Source organism: Homo sapiens, chromosome 11, assembly GCF_000001405.40.
Source record: "Homo sapiens chromosome 11, GRCh38.p14 Primary Assembly".
In the NCBI taxonomy this organism is placed as follows: Eukaryota; Metazoa; Chordata; class Mammalia; order Primates; family Hominidae; genus Homo; species Homo sapiens.
In genome coordinates, this window is record NC_000011.10 from 118,746,768 (window position 1) to 118,768,918 (window position 22,151).

General features: G+C 40.7%; 1 protein-coding gene across 13 annotated transcripts in view; it reads right to left on the reverse strand.

Annotated features, from left to right (window-relative positions):
* Positions 1-995: 995 nt before the first annotated feature.
* DDX6 (DEAD-box helicase 6) overlaps positions 996-22,151 on the reverse strand; it is a 43,982-nt gene continuing 22,826 nt past the window's right edge. For 5 of the 13 annotated variants that reach the window (NM_001425146.1, NM_001425154.1, NM_004397.6 and 2 more), the window contains 10 exons: positions 21,456-21,585; positions 18,442-18,588; positions 16,445-16,539; positions 13,155-13,277; positions 12,007-12,135; positions 10,404-10,520; positions 9,493-9,556; positions 8,635-8,736; positions 7,938-8,120; positions 996-5,330 (listed from right to left, as the gene is read on the reverse strand). In NM_001425146.1, coding sequence (NP_001412075.1) covers positions 7,945-8,120; positions 8,635-8,736; positions 9,493-9,556; positions 10,404-10,520; positions 12,007-12,135; positions 13,155-13,277; positions 16,445-16,539; positions 18,442-18,588; positions 21,456-21,585 — 1,083 coding nt within the window. In that variant the 3' untranslated portion in view covers positions 996-5,330; positions 7,938-7,944. The remainder of the gene's footprint in view (positions 5,331-7,937; positions 8,121-8,634; positions 8,737-9,492; positions 9,557-10,403; positions 10,521-12,006; positions 12,136-13,154; positions 13,278-16,444; positions 16,540-18,441; positions 18,589-21,455; positions 21,586-22,151) is intronic. The other 8 variants (NM_001425152.1, NM_001425151.1, XM_047426488.1 and 5 more) reach the window with 4 other exon arrangements.

A 22,151-nucleotide genomic window follows, 5' to 3' on the forward strand; every position in this document is an offset into this window, starting at 1 on the left:
ATAGAATCAGCTTGTGGGTATTTACAAAAAAGCCTATTGGGATTGACTGGAAATGCATTGACCCTCTGGACCAAATTGGTGAAACTCAAGATTTATTCTTCCAGTCCATGAACCATGGCATCTCCATTTATCTAGGTCTGATTTTTCTGTCAGTTTATTTTGTAGCTCCAGCATATAGGTATTGCAGTTGTTTGCCCCTTGGTATCCATGGGGGTTGGTTCCAGGATTCCACCCTCCCTTGCAAATACCCAAACCCTCAGATGCTCAAGTCCCTTATATAAAATGATGTAGTGTTTGCGTATAATCTCTGGACATCATCTTGCACACTTTGTCATTTCCAGATTACTCGTATCTAGTGCAATAAGTGCTACGTAGATAGTTGTTATACTGTAGTTCAGAGAACAAGAAAAATCTGTACATACTCAGTACAGACCCAACCATTGTAGGCCTAACACTTTTGGTCTGCAGTTGACTAAATGTGCAGACGTAAAACCCAGATACAGGGGACTGACTCTATTTTCTTAGTTATACTTAAGCATTTCTTTGGGTAGAGAGGTAGTGAGAGTGATGTGCTCAACTTTAAGTGTCTGCTTTTCCCAACTTTTATTTCCCAATCTTTTATTTCATCAGTGGTTTGTAGTTCTCAGCATATGAATTCCATTCATACTGTTAAGATGTAGTATGCCTTGGTTTTGGGGGTATGTTCAGCTTTACATTTGAGAACAATTGTAGGAGGTGGTAATTACTGATGTATTTGGACATATTATGGACCACATCTCCCCTCTTCCCAACCGATTATCTTGGTTCTCCATTTAGGCTGTGAAATCTGACAGCATGGTGGAACAGTATCTACAACAGATGAAGGGGCTCTGAATTCAACTGGGCTTCACAGGAATGATGGGTTGAGAAATGTCTGTTTCACAGTATGAATTACCTGAGCAAAATGCTCAGATTCCTATGCACACAGCTGCTACTAAGGACATACCACACACACATTTGGAGTTCCAGTGGGCTTTTATTGAGATAAATTAACAAAAACCAAGATTTTACCATATTTTTGGAACCTTATAAACTCAGCAGACTCCGGTCCATATATGCGTACATACAACATAACACATCCCAACAAAAACAGAGCCCCCCCCCCCCCCACTGGAACATCTGCCAATTAAGAGAAAGCCAATTTTCCCTTCCCCCAATGTTTCTGAAATTTTGAGTTCCCACTGTTCACTTCTCAGTGGAACTGGTCCCTTGTGGCTAGGGACATTGGAATTCTCTACCATTTTTACTGAACAAAAAATAATTTTTTTTCCTGTTTCAAAAAAGGGAATAGTGACTTTGTTTTCTCCAGGCTCCCCTTCCCACACAACCAATGTAAAATACAGCAGCCTGTATCTTAATAACCCAGCCCTACCCCCTCCCTTACCCAGCATTGTCTACTGGAGAATTTAAATACACTTCTGTTGGAATCTGTCAGCTGTGGATGGGCAGAGTCCAGGTGCCAGGCTAGCTCCCTCTGACCTCATGAACTGTGACAACCTTTGGACACTTAACTCTTTACCCCAAAGATGAGTTTTTAGATCAGAAAGGAGAGCAGATTTTCTTTGGGAGTTTTAAAAAACTATCTTTAGATTTAGAGATACAAAGTACAACTACAATCTCACAGAAGTCCACTAAAGTTCACCAAAAAGCTGACTTACTTCAGCTCTCATGAGGCCAATAATTTTGATAAAGGTATCTGGCAGGAAAATGATTCCACAATAACAAATTTAAAGATACCTAGAACATTGAAAAAAATAGCAAATTAAAATAAATGGCTTAATTTCCAAGAACTTATTTCATTTTTTTGTTACTCATCTAGAAGGTCAGGAGTGTGGCTAAAGGCAGTTTCTGATGAGGTTATGAGCTTCCAAAGTGTTTCTAAATCCTTAGTGCAGACACCCTCCCTTCTGGGGCAAAGTACCCTCCCTCCCACCCCTATTAAAAAAAAAAATTAAAAAATTAAACCACGTCATCAGAATGAGATGTTTTGATTCCAACAATTTATACTCAAGGCTTTGTGCTGAGTTGTCGTTTGAACCAAGCATGATGTTATCAAGCACAAAGCACGTGGCAAAGGAAAGATGCTCCCATCTCATTCTGAAAACAAATACTGATAACCAAGCCCACCCTCCAACCCTTTGGGGCCAACCCATTTTATGCTGCTGGGACCAACTTCAAACAATTTAGAGGTATATTTAGGTTTCCCTCTCTCTTACTTCTGTGAAAGATCATTTTAGAATAAATGTATTCCATTCCTATGGGAGAGGCAAAACAGTATTTATCCCCATCAGAATATATGGGGAAAGAAAAAACATAGGCCTAGAGGTGGTAAGGTGTGTAACAGTCCATAGCCCATTACACAACTGTACAACCAAAGGCTAAATGATGAGTTGGATGTAGTTTTAATATTAAAAATAGAGGGTAGTTCTCATCCAAATGAGCCACTGGAAAATATTATCATTACTTAAAAAAATACATATTTAATATTGGAAAGAATGTGAAAACAACTTCCAATAGTAACAATGCTTATTATGAGGGCCCAAAAAAGAAAGAAAAAAAAAAAAAAAAAAAAAAAGACCAGGCTTTGACCTAGTCCTCAGAGCATCTTTCCATTTAACAATTCCTATTCAAGAGTCAAGCACCAAAACTGGACAGCTGCCTCTACAAGACCGTGTCCAGTAGTGGTGTCCCAGATAGTTTAAGTGCCACTCCTCATTAGAGGCTATACTTCAGTAATACTTTCCATTTTAAGTCTGTGCTTTAAGAGGGACCCACAGGCATGTGGCACCACGCAGTCTAAAGTTGGTGAAGGAGACTGCACTTTTTGTTTAGTCACCCACACGTTCTCTAGCGAGATACAGAATTGCATTTATACTCTTTTCTTCTACATGAATGATCCCTCTTATCTCGCAAGAGGTGGGGGAGAAAGAGAGCTGCATCGGTACAAGGGCACAATTTTTTTGGTCAAAAGTTGACACCTTTTAAATTCCCTCTCCCACCCCTCCCTGGAAAAAAGTTACTTCCTTAATTAGGTTTTCTATTTAGTAACCAACATTGACTGGACAGAAAATATGAGGCTTGGGTTCCAAATAGATGAGCTTGTTCTTTTTTGGGTTTGTACCGTGCAGTTCTTGCTACAGTTGTTAAGGAGTTAGGGCTATGTCCCATCAGGAGGCATCTGTAGGATTTTGATCTCCAAGGAATTGTGGGTGAGTCGCAAATAGTTTGCTCAGAAGTAGGCAGAGTCAAAAAAGCAACTTCAAGTAATTGATTCCTTTGTCCAAAAGAGTTAAAACATTAAAGTATATGCGGGACTTATTTTGTAATATTTTAGGGTTTTGAAAAATAAAATATGGAAATCAATTTTTTTTAATTTTGTTTTTTGCTTTTTTCCCCCCCTTTCCAGATGCCTCCTGATTGACCTAGTACACTGGGTTAAAAGGGAATTAAAAACATTAAAAAAAAAAGTTCACTGGTTTTGATTCATCTCACTCCTTTTGCCTGGAGATCAGGCCAAACATCAAGCATGTTGGGAGGGGCACAATTTAAAGCAACACTATTGACTGTAAAGCATCTGCCAGCAATTTACAGTGCAAAATGACAGGTAACAATTCTTGTCACAATGCAAGAGAATGGCAAGCAGCTTTCTGTAGCATGAAAGTTAACAGCTCTCAGGTTGCCCATTCCTGCAAAAGTTTATGTATCAAAGCGGGCAGAGGGCAACACATTTACACACTACAGGAAATGATCCACAGAAAATTAAGCTCCAGAACTGCTAACATTACCAAAGCTGGTACTGGCTAATATTCTGAAATGCAAATCTGTGCTTTATATATATACTGCTCAATGACACTGCCACTCAATAGAATTCCTACACTGCAAGGTAGATTAATCTTTGCCCCCTGTTGCAGAGCTTGAAATATTCCTCAAACTTTTAGAAAGGGGGAAGAAGCAAAATCAGAGCTTCTCAAAATAAATGTTGAATTATCAATGTTTTGAAGCTTCCTTGCTCTCTCTGGTAAACCTACTCCAAAGGTACTAGATGAGACAGTGTGGCAGCAAACAGTACATCCCAGATTTCTGGGCCCCTTTACTAACACAGGGTACCATAGAAATCTGCTCTCTACAGCACGAGGCCAAAGTACTTTCTAGAATTTAGTGTTGCGTAAAACTGAGCCCCTCTCATCTTTAGCTGCTCCCATAATCACTCTAATCCCCTTAATCCCAGCAACCTTCATCCAAAAAAAAATATATATATATGTATATATATATATATATATGAACCCAGAAAAAAAACTTATTTACAAAGTTATACAAGTATACACACCCAATTTTCTATGGGACACGCTTTGCCACAGAGGAAAGAGGGCCAAGGCTCTGACATGTCTACACATCAAGTGCCATACTACTACTGGAGGCATATGTAACCCAGTCTTTAGTGTCTGCTATAGAGCACAAAGGCTTGTCATATGGCTCCTGCAATGATAGACTGCTCTTTCCTTTGGGAGCGATGATGTTTTTTATCTACTCAGCCCAGAAGAAATTTTTACTTGGGATTGTTTTTTTAAATACATGTATTTACAGTGCGGATGAACTGCAGTTGCATATCAACTCCTCCCCAAAAAGAAAAAAAAAATGGTGTTTAACATTACTAGTGAGTTTCAACTTCTAGCCCTGGGCTCGAGTACTGGGTAGAAAGGGAAGAGACTTCAACCTGAAACCAAAATAAGAAGACATTTTTTAAAAGAAAAAGAAAAAAAAACGGAAAGAAAGAGTTACTATTGTTGATTCCTCGGGCTGTGTCTAAAAGATGATATTCTGAATGGTCTCATAGCATAAGGCACTTCGCACAAATAAGTAATAAGCTCTTCAGGCTTAAAAAACGGATGAGGAATCAGGGAGAAGTTGAAATGCACGAGAGTCAGCTGTTGGAGAATTTTGAAATCATTGACAAGCTTGTGTGTTCATTAAGATTCTTCTCTTTTTAGGGTTTCTCCCCTTCTCTTCTTTCTTTTCCTTCCTTGTCCCCTTTCCCCAGAAAACATTTTTTAAAAACCAGCAGTTAGTGCAACTAATGTTCAGTCAGCACACAGTGCAAACAAGTGGAACAAAAAAGGTATATTCCTTCTTTTCAGCCTTTTTCTCTTCACCAGTTAAAAAAAGAAAATGTCTGAGCTCTTTTAAGTCTTCATAGTTCCAAAATAAAAGATGAAAAACCCACAAAGAGAGGAGCATTCCCCCCAAAACGATGTGTCACAGATCCAAACGAGCCTTTTGTAATTTGTCAAAGCCTACAGAAGAAGAGAATACAAAATTAACATTCTGAAAGCAACACAAACTAGGATACATAGGTTTTCACAATCCTCATCCCAAATGCTCTTTTCTAGTAGTTTCTACTAACCCTGTGCCTACTATAGAATCTACTGGTTATAGGATTAAATAATTTCTGGTAGGCAACCCTGAGATAGATTGGGGGCCTGAATGAATGTGAATGTTCTGATAGCAGGCAGCCCTCACTCGTAACAAATCCGGGGGAAAAAAATTAACCTTACACAAACTGAATACTCTGCCAAAGTACTAGCAAACATTGGCTAGTTTCATGCTTGTCCAAGAGTTTGTGTTTGATGTTTAACTTAAGGAAAAAAAGAGTACAGAGTAATTTAAAAATTATTTAAGTAACAATTGGTTGGGTGAGGTGGCTCCTGCCAGTAATCTCAGCACTCTGGGAGGCTGAGGTGGGCGGATCACCTGAGGTCAGGAGTTTGAGACCAGCCTGGCCAACATGGTAAATCCTCGTCTCTATTTAAAAAAGAAAGAGAAAAAAAATTTAAGTAACATTAGGTTACTTAAATAGGTAAGATGTTCACCTATAACTTGGAAACTATCCTTTGTCAAATCAGATTTTCTTTAGGAAATACTGAAACAACCTACCTTGCTTAAAGCTGAGCCTTGTTTCATGCATTTCTAACTAGAGCCCAATAGTCACCAAAAGATGATAGAGGCAGGGCGTGGTGGCTCACACCTATAATCCCAGCACTCTGGGAAGCCAAAGTGGGAGGATCATTTGAACCCAGGAGTTTGAAACCAGCCGGGGCAACATAGTGAGATCCCATCTTAATAAAAATAAAAAAAAGATGGGAAGACAGGTTGTCCAGGAAATCAGAGTGGGTATTTTATTTATGTATTTGACGGAGTTTCACTCTTATTACCTAGGAAATCAGAGTGGGTTATTTATATATGAGGCAGAGTTTCACTCTTATCGCCCAGGCTCGAGTGCAATGGCATGACCTCGGCTCACTGCAACCTCTGCCTCCCAGGTTCAAGAGATTCTCCTGCCTCAGCCTCCTGACTAGCTGGGATTACAGGCGCCCGCCACCATGCCTGGCTAATTTTCTGTATCTTTAGTGGACACGGGGTCTCACCAGGTTGGCCAGGCTGGTCTTGAAGTCCTGACCTCAGGTAATCCACCCACCTCGGCCTCCCAAAGTGCTGGGATTACAGGTGTGAGCCACTGAGCCAGCCCAAGTGGCTTTTTTTTTTTTTTTTTTTTTGAGATGGAGTCTAGCTTTGTCACCCAGGCTGGAGTGCAGTGGTGCGGTCTCAGCTCACTGTAACCTCCACCTCCCAGGTTCAAGTGATTCGCCTGCCTCAGCCTCCCGAGTAGCTGGGACTACAGGTGCGTGTCACCATGCCCGGCTAATTTTTGTATTTTTAGTAGAGACAGGGTTTCACCATGTTGGCCAGGATGGTCTCGATCTCTTGACCTCGTGATCCGCCCACCTCGGCCTCCCAAAGTACTGGGATTACAGGTGTGAGCCACCGCACCCGGCCCAGAGTGGGTATTTTAAAAAGATGGCCATCCTCATAATCTGATTAAACATTTGCTAATAAGGTATTATGGATAGTTTTATCAGAGTGATTAATGTACTTACTAGAAATTAAGAGTAAATGCTAAAAACATTTTACATTTTCAGAAATGTAAATACTTTCATATTCAAAACTGCTGGCAGTGTGGTGGCTCACACCTGTAATCCCAGCCTCCCTTTAGGAGGCTGAGGCGGGTAGATCACTTGAGGTCAGGAGTTCAAGACCAACCTGGCCAACATGGTGAAACTCCAACTCTACTAAAAAATACAAAAATTAGCTGGGCATGGTGGAGCATGCCTGTAATTCCAGCTACTTGGGAGGCTGAGGTGCACCAGAATCGCTTGAACCTGGGAGGCAGAGGTTGCAGTGGGCCGTGATTGTGCCACTGTACTCCAGCCTGGGCAACAGAGCAAGACTCTCAAAAAACAAAAACAACAAAAATCCCCCCTACAAAACTGTCAAAAAAGGCCAGGCACAGTGGCACAGTGGCTTGCGCCTATAATCCTAACACTTTGGGAAGCCAAGGCAGGAGGACTGCTGGAGTTCAGGAGTTCTGGACCAGCCTAGGCAACAAAGCAAGACCTTGTTTCTACCAAAAATTTAAAACATTAGGCAGGCGTGGTGGCATGTGCCTACAGTTCCAGCTACTCAGGAGCCCAGGAGAACCAGGCTGCAGTGAGCTATGATTGCACCACTGCACTCCAGCCTGGATGACAGTGAGACCTTGTCTCAAAAAGAAAAACAAATTGCTGAAAAACATTCTTTTTTGCTTTCATTATTTTAGGACTCTGAATTTAAGTACTGCTAATCTACCACATTACCCGGGAAGCTGCATTCAAGAACAACATTTACAGATTCTCGAATGAGACTACAACCTCCCACAAGAGATATTATTTACTGTCATTTATGCTAGTGGGTATTTTACCCTTTATTGCTATTATATATGGTGTGACATCAAATTTCCCCCAGGAAAGAAGATTTTGATTTCCCTCATTTAAAGGTTCCTCTTAGCTGTTCTGTCAGGGACGTACATGCTTGTTAAGGTTTCTCATCTTCTACAGGCTCGCTGTGGTATTCTGCCACATACAGGCTCTTATCAATGTTGCTCGGAATAGGTTTAATTTCTGTTCCCAGCTGCTCCTCAATACTTTTCAGGTTGAAGCGATCATCATATGTGATCAAGTTGATGGCTAAGCCAAGATGACCAAAGCGACCTAAAAAACATGCGTTTAAAAATTTTAATGAATAAAATATGAAAATCAATGTGAATTGTGCAAGTCAAGCAGTGGCAAAACCACACAGGATTGATAATGATGTTCAGTGCCATTCTTAGTATGCAAAACAACTTCTTAATGGTCTTCAAACACAGGTTTCCCTACAACTTCAGGTTTCGCAGCCCAAAATAGTACTTCATTTCACCTTTCTCAAATGACAAAATGGCAGTCAAAACTGCCATAAAATACACATTAAACAACAGTCACAGAACATACCACCTAATGAGTGAAGTTCTCATGTGTTAATTTCATCTCAAATTAAGCAGTTATTTTAACTTTTCTTAATAAATGCTACAGAAGAATTAGAAATTAGTCTTAAATACCAAACAACTGAATTACTGTTAATTCACTGTTCTCATAGCTACTGTACTCTATTTCACAAAAGAACAAAATTTAGTCATTACACGCCTCAAAAAAGAACTTCTACCAAGAATATCACCTCTTTTTTCCTCACCTGATCTTCCAATACGATGGAGATAGGTCTCTGCCAGCTTTGGGAAATCAAAGTTTATTACCACATTCACAGCTTGTATATCAATACCTCGGGTAAACAGATCTTAAAAAAAAAAAGATAATTTTCATTTTTTCAATTTAGAAATGTCTCTCAGTACAATACTAACACATATTTCTAGCATAACCTAAGTTTATTAATTTAATTCAGTTATTCAAATGCATTTGCACATTACTGGCATTACCTTTCATAATCACATTATCATAAATAACTTTCTGCTCCCAAGTTACTTTTTTCCAGTAATTGTAAGCAAGTTTTAAAAAATGTGTCTAAAAGAGGCTGGGTGCACTCAAGCCTGTAATCCCAGCACTTTGGGAGACCAAAGCAGGAAGATCACCTGAGGTCAGGAGTTCGAGACCAGCCTGGCCAACATGGTGAAATCCCTGTCTCTACCAAAAATACAAAAATTAGCCGGGCTAAGCGGTAGCAGGCGCCCACAATCCCAGCTACTTGGGAGGCTGAGGCAGGAGAATCACTTGAACCCAGGAGGTGGAGGTTTCAGAGAGCCAAGATCGCACCACTGCACTCCAGCCTGGGTGACAAAGATTCCATCCCCCTCCCCCCCCCCCCCAAAAAAAAGACAGAGATGAGGTATGAGTGCCAGAGTAAGTCTTCTAAAGTTTCAGATATGGAACCCAGTATCAGGAGCTGACAAGAGTTCATTTTCAACTTCAGAAATCCTAGAAGTAGTGGTAGGGTGTGTCGGACTATGTCACAGGTTGCACTATGTAATATGAACAGAGAAAGCAAAAAACAACTTGGGAGAAAAACACTGGGTAAAGGAAATACAAAAATACTTACCAGTGCAAACAAGATTGCGGCATAAGCCATTTCGGAAATCATGAAATACACGATTTCGATGTTCCTAGGAGAAAGCAATGTATTCCATTTGATTAACACTCATATACAGCCCCAAATTTCCCATAATTATTTCTCCCAGACGATCAGTTCTACCCAAAATCTGTTTATAAGTGATCCATGATATTAAGCTGCTTTCAAAACCAAATGAGTTAAGTTCTTGATATCTTCGTCTACAGAAACTGTTTACTTACGAAATTTCATAATGTAGTTAACAAAAAAGTCATTTTTGTTACAGTTTTAAATTATTTTTTGCTAAATCAAATTCTGAAATTTAGATATTGTATCTTTTTCTAAAGGCAAACAGTAAAGAAAAAAAGAAAAATCAGCCAGCTGAGGGGCCATATTTAAAAATCCAGAGCAGTGCTGTCCAGTAAAACTTCTATAATAAAGGAAATATTTGTGTCTGTACTTCCAATTCCAATACACTATCCAGTAGCAACAGGTGCCTAACTGAGCACTTGAAATGTGGCTGTGATTGAGAAACTGACTTTTTATTTTAATTTTAACTGATTTAAATTGCCACATGTGGCTATTTACTGTATTAAACAGAGAATTAAACATGGAAAGGAAGGGAAGAATAAAATTTTACATTTGTATCATGCCTGACAGCTTCCAAAGTACTCATTTAAACATTTATCTTAATTTTCCTAACAACCTTGTAAGTTATGAATATGTACTATTATCCCTATTTTATTGCTAGAAAATTGAACCTGAGGGAGGTCAAAATGAAAGGTCCTTTGGCTACTAAGGAACAGTTTATTCTTAAACTCAGGACATTTAAAAGAACATTAAAACAAAATAAAGAAAGAGATTTCTTATTAAATTTGTGCAAGTTCTAGTTTTATACTCACCTGCCTCATTTTAGCATGAATATAGAAGCAAGAATAACCCAGTTGAGAAATCTTCTTGGCTAGCAATTCAACTCGCTGAGAGGAGTTACAGAAAATGATCGACTGGTTTATCTGAAGCTGAGCACAGAAAAAAATAAGTATGAGAAAAATAAAAAAAACCTTCATTTGGTTTGCCAAATCTTGAAAACACGAACCAGCAAAAAAGAAACATTAACATGGTCTAAAACTTAGAATCTCATGATATGAGAGAGATGGTAAATTGTAAAAATTGTAAATAATAGATGGAAGATAATAATATCTAAGATTTACCGTATTAGAGTATATTTCTTAAGGGCCACATAACTGTCAACAAGAGTAATACAATTGATTATCTGATTCAAAGTAGTTATGTTTTATGTGTTTCCATTTAAAAATATTTTATTTTATTTTTTTTTTGTGAAATGGAGTTTCACTCTTGTTGTCCAGGCTGGAGTGCAATGGTGCAATCTCAGCTCACTGCAACAGCTGCCTCCTGGGTTCAAACAATTCTCCAGCCTCAGCCTCTTGAGTAGCTGGGATTACAGGCACCCACCACAATGCCTGGCTAACTTTTGTATTTTTAGTAGAGACAGGGTTTCAGCCTGTTGGTCAGGCTGGTCTTGAACTCTTGACCTCAGGTGATCTGCCCACTTCGGCTTCCCAAAGTGCTGGGATTACAGGTATGAGCTACTGTGCCCAGCCAAGAATACCTTCTTTAATATACTCACAACCAATGCCACCAGCATTGGGCAGCACTTCAGCACCATGTGTAGGGGCCAATTAAAACTGTGAAATCAGCAACAAAAACTTGAAAAACATGGCAGACTGTGAAAAGGACCCTTGTTCACAGTATGAGAGCTAAACAAGAGGACAGAGATTGCTTTCTTCGACCTCAGCTGGGAATGTGCATGTCAGGTGACTTAAACTCTTTGCCACACTGTACACGTCCACAAATGACTGCTGAACTACCTTGAGTATTAATTCCGGAGTTACAAATAAATTCTAGTGACTAAGCAAATTCACAAATACAGAATATGTGAATAATGAGGATTAACCCTAGTTAAGGTCAAAGTATTTCAGAAACTATTCAAAAGTGTATCTGTGACTTGGTTAATCATTTAGTATCAACTTTAGGTCAACAACTAAACCTGCCTTTTAGGAAACACTATGAATTATTTTTTAATCTTTTTTTTTTTCTTCCCAAGACGGAGTCTTGCTCTGTCGCCCAGAGCTGGAGTGCAATGGTGCAATCTCAGCTCACTGCAGCCTCCGCCTCCTGGGTTCAAGCAATTCTCCTGCCTCGGCCTCCCAAGTAGCTGGGATTATGGGCACACGCCACCATGCCCAATTTTTTTGTATTTTGTAGTAGAGATGGGGTTTCACCATGTTGGCCAGGCTGGTCTCAAACTCCTGACCTCGTGATCTGCCTGCCTCAGCCTCCAAAGTGCTGGGAGGCATGAGCCACCGTGCCAAGCCAGAAACACTACGAACTTTTATACAGTGAAGACGGTGGGAAAATTGATGAAATCATCTGTTTTACTGGGACTCGAGAGATAATATTCAACAGCAGAAGCCTACTTCTTACCCTGGAGAAAAGTGTGTTGAGGCAGTGTACTTTTTGGCGCTCAGTTACATATGCGTAGTACTGGGTTACTCCCTTCAGAGTTAGTTCCTCCATCAGGTTAATCTCATAGGGTTTCTGCAAATGGGAATTCTGGGGGGGGAGCGGGAAAAAGATGAGTCGTCGTCTTAAATGAAAGCAGAGTTCATCTCAAATTCAAAATATACCCTATACGTTTCTGTCCGATAAACTCTTGCTGTAAGGGACGCAACTCTCTTCAAAACAAAATATATGATCTGTCATTACAGAATTTCCCCCCTGCCACCCTGAGACAAAATCTTGCTCTGTCACCCAGGCTGGAGTGTAGTGGCACGATCTCTGCTCCCTGCAACCTCCACCTCCCGGGTTCAAGTGATTCTCCTGCCTCGGCCTCCCGAGTAGCTGGGAATGCAGGCATGCACTGCCATAACAGACTAATTTTTGTATTTTTAGTAGAGACGGGGTTTCACCATGTTGCCCAGGCTGGTCTCGAACTCCTGACCTTGTGATCTGCCCGCCTCGGCCCCCCAAAGTGCTGGGATTACAGGCATGAGCCACCATGCCCGACCCGATAGAAATAAATTAAGATATAAGATCTCAAAAATGCAGCTAAGTTACTACAGGTTGAGTATTCCTTACCCAAAATGCTTAGGAACAGAAGTGTTTCAGGTTTTAAATTTTTTCTAATTTTGGAATATGTGCATTACACTTAGTGACTGAGCATCCTTAATTTGAAAATTCAAAATCCAAAGAACATTTCCTTTTAGCATCATGTTCGTGGCTCAAAAGGTTTCAAATTCTGCAGTATTTTGGATTTCAGTTTAGGATACTCAAGCTCTGTTTTGTATATAGAATAATACCGGAATCAATTCAGCTAGCACCAATGGCTATGTCATCATGACACCAAAAACTAAGTGAAAGATGAGGAATTTAATTAAGTTACTATTACAACCTTCTTAAAAAGTCAGTTAATTTACGTAAAACAAATCTTTAATTGATCAACTGAAGAAAGAGCCAAAGGCTTGAAATAATTAGCATAAAGTATATTCACAGATATGAAGATGTAATTACAAATAAAAGCATACTCAAAGGTCACAGGATGGCACTGATTCCAAGTACAGATTTATACTCACCATGAACTTCTGTACACTAAGAGGGAAAGTAGCGGAATATAGTAAAATCTGCCTGTTTTTAGGTAGCGTGAGAATAATATCCTCCATTATCTGCACAAAATCCTGTGACAGCAACTTATCTGCCTGCAGTAGAAAGAAAAGACAATTTTAAAAACAATAAAATAATGTCTAAGGTCTTGGTTAATACATGGTCAAAGAATAAGGCATCATCCAACAAAAGCATCCATGAAATGTTCCTGGTGGAAAACAATAAATTCTCTCCAACACTGCAGAGAGTCAAATATGCAGAAGGGGGCAAAATCTATAATCCCCATCTTCTAGGGGAAAAAAAAAATTCTACACTACACAGACAACCTCCCCCGCTTTCTGTAACAGAATTTAATTAATTTATTTATTTTTAGAGACAGCATTTCACTCTGTCACCCAGCTGGAGTGCAGTGGCATAATCGTATCTCACTGCAGCCTGAACTTCCTGGGCTCAAGTGATCCTCTTGCCTGAGCCTACTGAGTAGCTAGGACTACAGGCACATACCTCCATGCCCAGCTCCACAACAGAATTTTAATGTGATGATTCTCATTAAAGAGGTAGTATGGTGTAGTGTTTAAAAGTACGGGTTCTGGCCGGGCGCGGTGGCTCACGCCTGTAATCCCAGCACTTTGGGAGGCCGAGGCGGGAGAATCACGAGGTCAAGAGTTTGAGACCAGCCTGACCAACATGGTGAAACCCCATCTCTACTAAAAATACAAAAATTAGCTGGACGTGGTGGTACGCACCTATAATCCCAGGTACTCGGGAGGCTGGGGCAGGAGAATCGCTTGAACTTGGGAGGCGGACGCTGCAGTGAGCCAAGATCACACCACTGCACTCCAGCCTAGGCGACAGGGCGAGACTACTCCGTCTCAAAAAAAAAAAAAAAAAAAAAGTAAGGGTTCTGAGGCCGGGTGCAGTGGCTCACGCCTGTAATCCCAGCACTTTGGGAGGACCAGGCGGGCGGATCACCTGAGGTCAGGAGTTCAAGACAAGACTGGTTGATATGGTGAAACCCTGTCTCTACTAAAAATACAAAAATTAGCTGTGCACAGTGGCAAGCGCCTGTAATTCCAACTACTCAGGAGGCTGAGGCAGAAGAACTGCTTGAACCTGGGAGATGGAGGTTGCAGTTGAGCTGAGATCGCACCACTGCACTCCAGCCTGGGCAACAGAGCAAGACTCTGTCTCAAAAAAAAGTACAGGTTCTGGAGCTAAACTGCCAGGTTGAAATCTTGCCTCCTTCATTTCTCAGCTGTGTGGGAATGTTACAGAACTACTCTGTACTTCAGTTTCCACAACTCTAAAATTGTAAAACTATTAAAATTTGGATGTTTACATAATGTAGTAACTACTTTACCGGGATTTAGAAAAAACTTGGCTAAGGCCAGGTGTGGTGGCTCACGCCTGTAATCCCAGCACTCTGGGAGGCTTAGGTGGGCAGATCACTTGAGGTCGGGAGTTTGAGACCAGCCTGACCAACATGGAGAAACCCTGTCTCTGCTAAAAGTACAAAATTAGCCCGGCATGGTGGCACATGCCTGTAATCCCAGCTACTCGGGAGGGCTGAGGCAGGAGAATCGCTTGAACTTGGGAGGTGGAGGTTGCGGTGAGCTGAGATCGCACCACTGCACTCCAAGCGGGGCAACGAGACTCTGTCTCAAAAACAAAACAAAACAAAACAAAAAAGAAAAAACTTGACTTTCAAGTTATCCAGCCACTCCTCTTCTTAAAAATTAAACCTAAACTCTGGCATCTATAAGACAAAAAGCTGAATTCCTATGAATGCCTATCTATTGCATCTGAAGTATAAAACGTATTTTATAAGCAAATTAGAAGTTGGATGTCTACATACTATAGTAACTACTTGACAGGATACCTACCTTATAGGTTTCTTGTAAAAATTAAATGGAAAAAAAAAAAAAAAAACAAACCATGTAAAGCACTTAGTGCTGGTACCCAGTGATTAATAAATGTTCTCTCTCATTACTTAAAGATAAAAGTCTGATTTGAATTAAATCATGTTACCTAAAACACAAACCAGGCCGGGCGTGGTGGCTCATGCCTGTAATCCCAGCAATTTGGGAGGCTGAGGCAGTAGGATCACCTGAGGTCAGGAGTTCGAGACTAGCCTGGCCAACATTGCAAAACCGCGCCTCTACTAAAAATACAAGAATTAGCTGAGCGTGGGTGGTACATAATTGTAATCTCAGCTACTCAGAAGGCTGAGGCATAAGAATCACTTGAAGCGGGGAGGCAGAGGTTGTAGTGAGCCGAGATCACGCCACTGCACTCCAGTCTGGGTGACAGAGTGAGTCTGTCTCAAAAAAAAAAAAATAATAATAATAATAATAAACCTCAACCCAAATGTGAAAATAACCTCATGTCAAAACATTAACAACGCTGATCACTATAGATCCTCCTTGACTTACAATGGGATTATGTTCTGATAAATTCATCCTAAGTTGAAAATATTACCCAAACCTACTGAACATCATCGCTCAGCCTAGCCTCCTTTAAACATGCTCCACTTACCTTAGCTTACAGTTGGGCAAAATCACCTGCAACGCCGTATACTGTAGAGTATCGGCTGTCTGCCCTCAATCATCATGTGGCTGACTGGGAGCTGCAGTTTGCTGCTGATGCCCAGCATCATGGGAGTATCATATAGCATATTACTAACCAGGAAAAATATCAATCTTAAAAATTCAAAGTACAGTTTCTAATGAAAGCTTATCACTTCCACTGAAAAACTGTAAAGTGAACCATCTTAAGTCAGGGACCATCTGTACATGTACAAAACATGGCTAGATCCCAGGACTACAGATTTTAATAAGTTTTTAAAAGGCATTTATAACATGGTGAGATAATACATGTAACAGAGATTAAAAACCAAACAGTACAAAGTAGTATGCACAAAATGAGAAGAGACAATATATATTATATGCTTTTAAAAATTAATCACAGAGCAGAAAGAGACTTAGAATAAATTTGGCATTGAGGTTATTCACTCCTCTACTAAAAAATTAAAACCTAATGTCTGCTATCTCTAAGAAAAAGACAAAATGCTGAATTCCAATGAATGCCTATAATCTACTCCCTCTGACGGGTAAAACACATTTTATAAGCAAATTAATTTAAACTGATTGTTTATGTGTTTATTAGATCATAAACACAAGCAGCTTTTGCTTCATTCACTGGCAGTTATAAGCAAAGCACAGAAAAGTACAGAACAGTATAATGCCAAATGAAGAGACATTACCTCATCCAATACTATCATCTGGACATGATCAACCTTTGCTACTCCTTTCTTAATAAGATCCAGGATTCTCCCAGGGGTAGCAATCACCACGTGCACTATGCAAGATTTAGAAAACATACATTCTCATTAATTTTAATTTGAGCAAAGAGGATAAAGGTTTATAATATTACAGTCCTGAGCTGCTTAATGATAATTCTGAGAAATGCATTGCTATGTGATGGTATAGCCTACTCCATTGTATAGCTCCATTATAATCTTATGGGAACACCGACATACGTGCAGCCGTCACTGACCACAACATTGTATGCAGCACATGACTATCTTTTATTAGAAACAACTAGGCCGGGTGCAGTAGCTCATCCCTGTAATCCCAGTACTTTGGGAGGCCGAGGTGGGTGGATCACATGAGGTCAGGAGTTCGAGACCAGCCTGGCCAACACGGTGAAACCCTGTCTCTACTAAAAATACAAAAATTAGCTGGGTGTGGTGGTGGGAGCCTGTAATCCCAGCTACTCAGGAGGCTGAGGTAGGAGAATCGCTTGAACCCAGGAGGCAGACGTTGCAGTGAGCCGAGATCACACCACTGCACTCTAGCCAGAGCAACAGAGTAAGACTGTGTCTCAAATTAAAAAAAAAAAAAAAAAGAAAGAAAGAGAAGAAACACATTGTGTTATAGAGGTGGAAATAACACAAAAAGGCACAAAGATGTGTTTTAGGATAAAGACTTCCATTTCACCACAGGATGCTTAAAAAATATTTGTTTCACCTCTACATTGGGTGGGGTACAGCTTCCTAAATCACCTGCTGCTTTCAACAGTAGGCATACTTTCTTGTCTTAGGATAATTCTCAATTAATAGCAGAAGGCACACCAGACTTCTGACATAAGAGCAATGCCTCTAATCTAGAGCAGTGAGCCGAGTATTGTTAAAAGGATCAAACAAGATAATTTTTTAAAAACCTATGCAATACAAAGAATGTATCACATAATTATCATATATAATATTCTAACTAAAATCAAGATATAATTTTATATGAGTGATCTCATTCTTGCTGTTTTGTTACCTTTTTCCACTCGGCAATGTATCATGAAACCTCTTCATGAAAATGAATACAGGTCAACTTTACTCTTTAATGACTATGTAGAATCCTATTCAGATTATACCTTAACGTATTTAGTTAGCCAATCTCCTTCTAAGTTGGCCAATTTTTCGGCACGACAATACCACCCCATAGCAAACAACTTTGTACCTACAGCCCTGCATTTACCCAACTTTTTTCTTCAGGAAAGATTCTTAAAAATATACATTTATGGCCGGGCACGGTGGCTCACGCCTGTAATCCCAGCACTTTGGGAGGCTGAGGCAGGTGGATCACGAGGTCAGGAGATCGAGACCATCCTGGCTAATACGGTGAAACCCCGTCTCTACTAAAAACACAAAAATTTAGCCTGGCGTGGTAGCGGGAGCCTGTAATCCCAGCTATTCAGGAGACTGAGACAGGAGAATGGCCTGAACCTGGGAGGCGGAGATTGCAGTGAGTCAAGATTGCGCCTCTGCACTCCAGCCTGGGCAACAGAGCAAGACTCCATCTCCAAAAAAAAAAAAAATATACACACACACACACACATTATATATACATTTATAATTTTAAAATATACTCCCAAATTGCCCATGATAGAGATGTAAGTTTACACCCCCACATTTACAATGTAGCCTATTTGTCCACAAACTCACATTATCGTCTACTAATACTTTTAGCTTTACCAATTAAACAGGTAAAATTATTATAAACTTGCTGTTTTACAATTACTAATAAAGTCAAATATCGTTTTCAATTATGGTAATTTGTCTTTTTCGCTTGAATGCAGTGGTCATTTCCTTTTCTTACTGCAGTATTTCTGTTCCTTAATTCTTAAAAACAATTTTTAATAATTTACTGAAATACTTGTGACTAAAATAACAGAGAGCTACACTACCTTTTAGTAATCATTTCTTACCTGTATCATCAAGCCTCATTATGTCATCTCGTAAATTGGTTCCTCCTGTGGTTGCCATCACTTTGGCCCCTCCCATGTGTTTGCTGACCTGGATGCAAATTTGACTGACCTGTAGAGCAAGTTCTCTAGTGGGAACAATCACCATTGCTGAAACAGTATCAAGGAATATATAAGAAAATATGGGGTGAGGTGGGAGAACATGCTATACATCATTATTTACAAAATTTAAGAAGCTATAGAAATACTGCGCCTTATGATGCAGTGGCTCACACCTGTAACTGCACCTTATGATGCAGTGGCTCACGCCTGTAATCCCAGCACTCTGGGAGGCCAAGGTGGGCAGATCACCTGAGGTCAGGAGTTCGAGAGCAGCCTGACCAACATGGTGAAACCCCATCTGTACTAAAAATACAAAAATTATCCAGGCGTGGTGGCACGCACCTGTAGTCCCACCTACTCAGGAGGCTGAGGCAGGAGAATCACTTGAACCCGGAGGCAGAGGCTGCAGTGAGGCAAGATCGCGCCACTGCACTCCAGCCTGGGCGACAGAGTGAGACTCAGTCTCAAAAGAAAGAAAGAAAAAAAAAATAGCCTAGGCACGGTGGCTCACACCTACCTATAAGCCCAGCACTTTGGGAGGCCAAGGTGGGTGGATCACCTGAGGCCGGGAGTTTGAGACCAGCCTGACCCTATCTCTACTAAAAATACAAAATTAGCTGGGCGTGGGTGGCACATGCCTGTAATCCCAGCTACTTGGGAGGCTGAGGCAGAAGAATCGCTTGAACCCGAGAGGCAGAGATTGTGGTGAGCCGAGATTGTGCCACTGCACTCCAGTCCAGGCAACAAGAGCGAAACTCCGTCTCAAATAAAAAAAAAGAAAAGAAACACTGCCCCTTATAATCTAGATACCGAGATGTATTAAAAAATTGGGCTGGGCAGCACAGTGAGTAACTCATGCCTAGAATCCCAGCACTTTTGGAGGCTGAGGCAGGAGGATCGTTTGAGCTCAGGAGTTTAAGACCAGCCTGGGCAACATAGCAAGACCCCATCTCTACTAAAAAAAAAAATGAAAAAAATTAGCTGGGAATGGTGGCATGTGCCTATAGTCTCAGCTTCTGGGGAGGCTGAGGCAGGAGGATCACATCAGCCTGGGAGATTAAGACTGCATTAAGCTATGATCATGACACCACACTCCAGAATGGGTGACACAGCAAGACTCTGTCTCCCCCGCCAAAAAAATTAAGAAATAAAAATAAAAAGTTGAATCATTACACAGGACATTATGAAAACTCAAATGTACAAATCTCTTTATGAAAAGAGAACCTATTATAGTGTCCCAGATTTAGACTCTCCCTCAGCAATACTATTATATAAATATTAAACTCTTCCTCTTCTTTTTTTTGAGATGGAGTCTTGCTCTGTTGTCCAGGCTGAAGTGCAGTGGCTGCCATCTCGGCCCACTGCAACCTCTGCCTCCCAGGTTCAAGCAATTCTCCTGCCTCAGCCTACTGAGTAACCGCCACCACACCCAGCTAATTTTTTGTATTTTTAGTAGAGACGGGGATTCATCATGTTGGCCCAGCTGGTCTCAAACCCCTGACCTCAAGCAATCCTCCTGCCTTGGCCTCCCAAAGTGCTGGGATTACAGGTGTGAGTCACTGCACCTGGCCTTCTGCTGCTGCTGCTTCTTCGTTTTGAGACAGATCTCGCTCTGTTACCCAGGCTGGAGTGCAGTGACATGATCTTGGCTGACTGCAACCTCCACCTCCCAGGTTCAAGCAATTCTCCTGCCTCAGCCTCCTTGAGTAGCTGGGACTACAGGCACATGTCACCACACCCAGCTAATTTTTGTATTTTTAGTAGAGACAGGGTTTTACCATGTTAGCGAGGCTGGTCTTGAACTCCTGACCTCAGGTGATCTGCCTTGCCTCGGCCTCCCGAAGTGCTGGGATTACAGGCGTGAGCCACCACACCCAGCCAATACTGTTCTTAATTACAAACTTTCAGCATGTTGAGTTCGCAACTATTAGCTCAAAGTTTATTAACAATATTTCTAAAAGCCCCAACTACATTTGAGTCAGATTCACTGTGTAAAATACCTAGGTAGGAAACTCCTGCTACCTAGGCTCTATTTACATCATATGAAAGTGGGAAGAAAAGATAATTACAGATCACGAAAGCTAAAAATGTAAAGTTTCAGAGATGAAATCTTAATTCCATTAACTTACATTGAATATAACTATGAAAATTTTTTATTCCCCACTGCCTAGGCTCTTAAAATCCCAAAATCCACAGCCTTTAAACAGAAGTTCATGTTTCTACAAGGAATTCTGTTAACACTCATCTGCCACAAGAAATAGTTCCATAGTTTATAAGTAGCAATGTCAACTAATTTAACTTCTCATGACCTCAGCCGCCTTTTTTTTTTTTTTTTTTTTTTTGAGTTGAGAGTCTCACTCTGTCACCCAGGCTGGAGTGCAGTGGCACAATCTTGGCTCACTGCAACCTCCACCTCCTGGGTTCCAGTGACTCTCGTGCCTCAGACTTCTGAGTAGCTGGGATTACAGTTGTGCGCCACCATGCCCAGCTAATTTTTGCATTTTTAGTAGAGACAGGGTTTCGCAATGTTGGCCAGGCTGGTCTTAAATATCTGGCCTCAGGTGATCCACCCACTTTGACCTCCCAAAGTGCTGGGATTACAGGCTGTGAGGCACCGTGCCCAGCCTCAGCTTTCCTACCTATAGGGCACTAATACTTATTTTTCCTGTCTCACTGGAATGCTGTCACAAGTGTGTATCATATAAGAATACTCTTAAAACTAGAAATCTCTAAAAAGCTGGGAATCATTTTTAATAAAAAGACCATCATCAGGCTAAAAAAAGAAAAAACCTGAAAAGAAAGAATACAAATTTTAGATAATGTAAATTCTGACTAAAAAAAGAGTATCTTCTACACATGGCTCCAAGGCTGAAACTCCCATTTTTAGTTTAAAAACAAACTTTTATTCAACTAACCTTGTATATTGTCCTTCTTCAGGTCTAGCCGTTCAAGTAAGGGAATGAGGTAGGCACCGCTCTTGCCTGTTCCATTTTTTGCTCTAGCTAAGATATCCCTACCAGATAAAGCAATGGGAATGCTCTCCTCCTAAAAGAGATAAGACAATACAAAATTACTTCTGAATGTAGTACACAAGCAAATTCCTCTCTGAAATACACTGAAGGATACCTCTTTCGGTATTGCTTTAAGTGTCCTAAGTATCCTACATTTGAATTCTACATGAATAGCAGAGATCCAAGTAAATCAGCACGACCAGTCAACATCAACATCATTATAAACCAGTATTTACCAGAACTGCTCACAGAATTTTAAATTGTAACCCAATGTCATAAGAACTGTGTTATGTGTGTATCTGAAGAGAACAACAAAGAAAATGGAGGAACTCAGGCTGACCCATAAATAGCACTTGAAAATACAGACAAAACAAAAGCAAAGCCTCCTTCAAATAAAAATTGGAAAAATGGCCAGGCACAGCAGCTCATGCCTGTAGTCCCAGCACACTGGGAGGCAGAAGTGGGGGATCACTTGAGCCCAGGAGTTCAACACCAGCCCGGGCAACTAGGCAACATGGAAAAACCCCAACTCTACAAAAATTACAGAAAGTAGCTGGGTGTGGTGGTGGGTGTCCATAAACCTTGAGAGGCTGAGCCAGG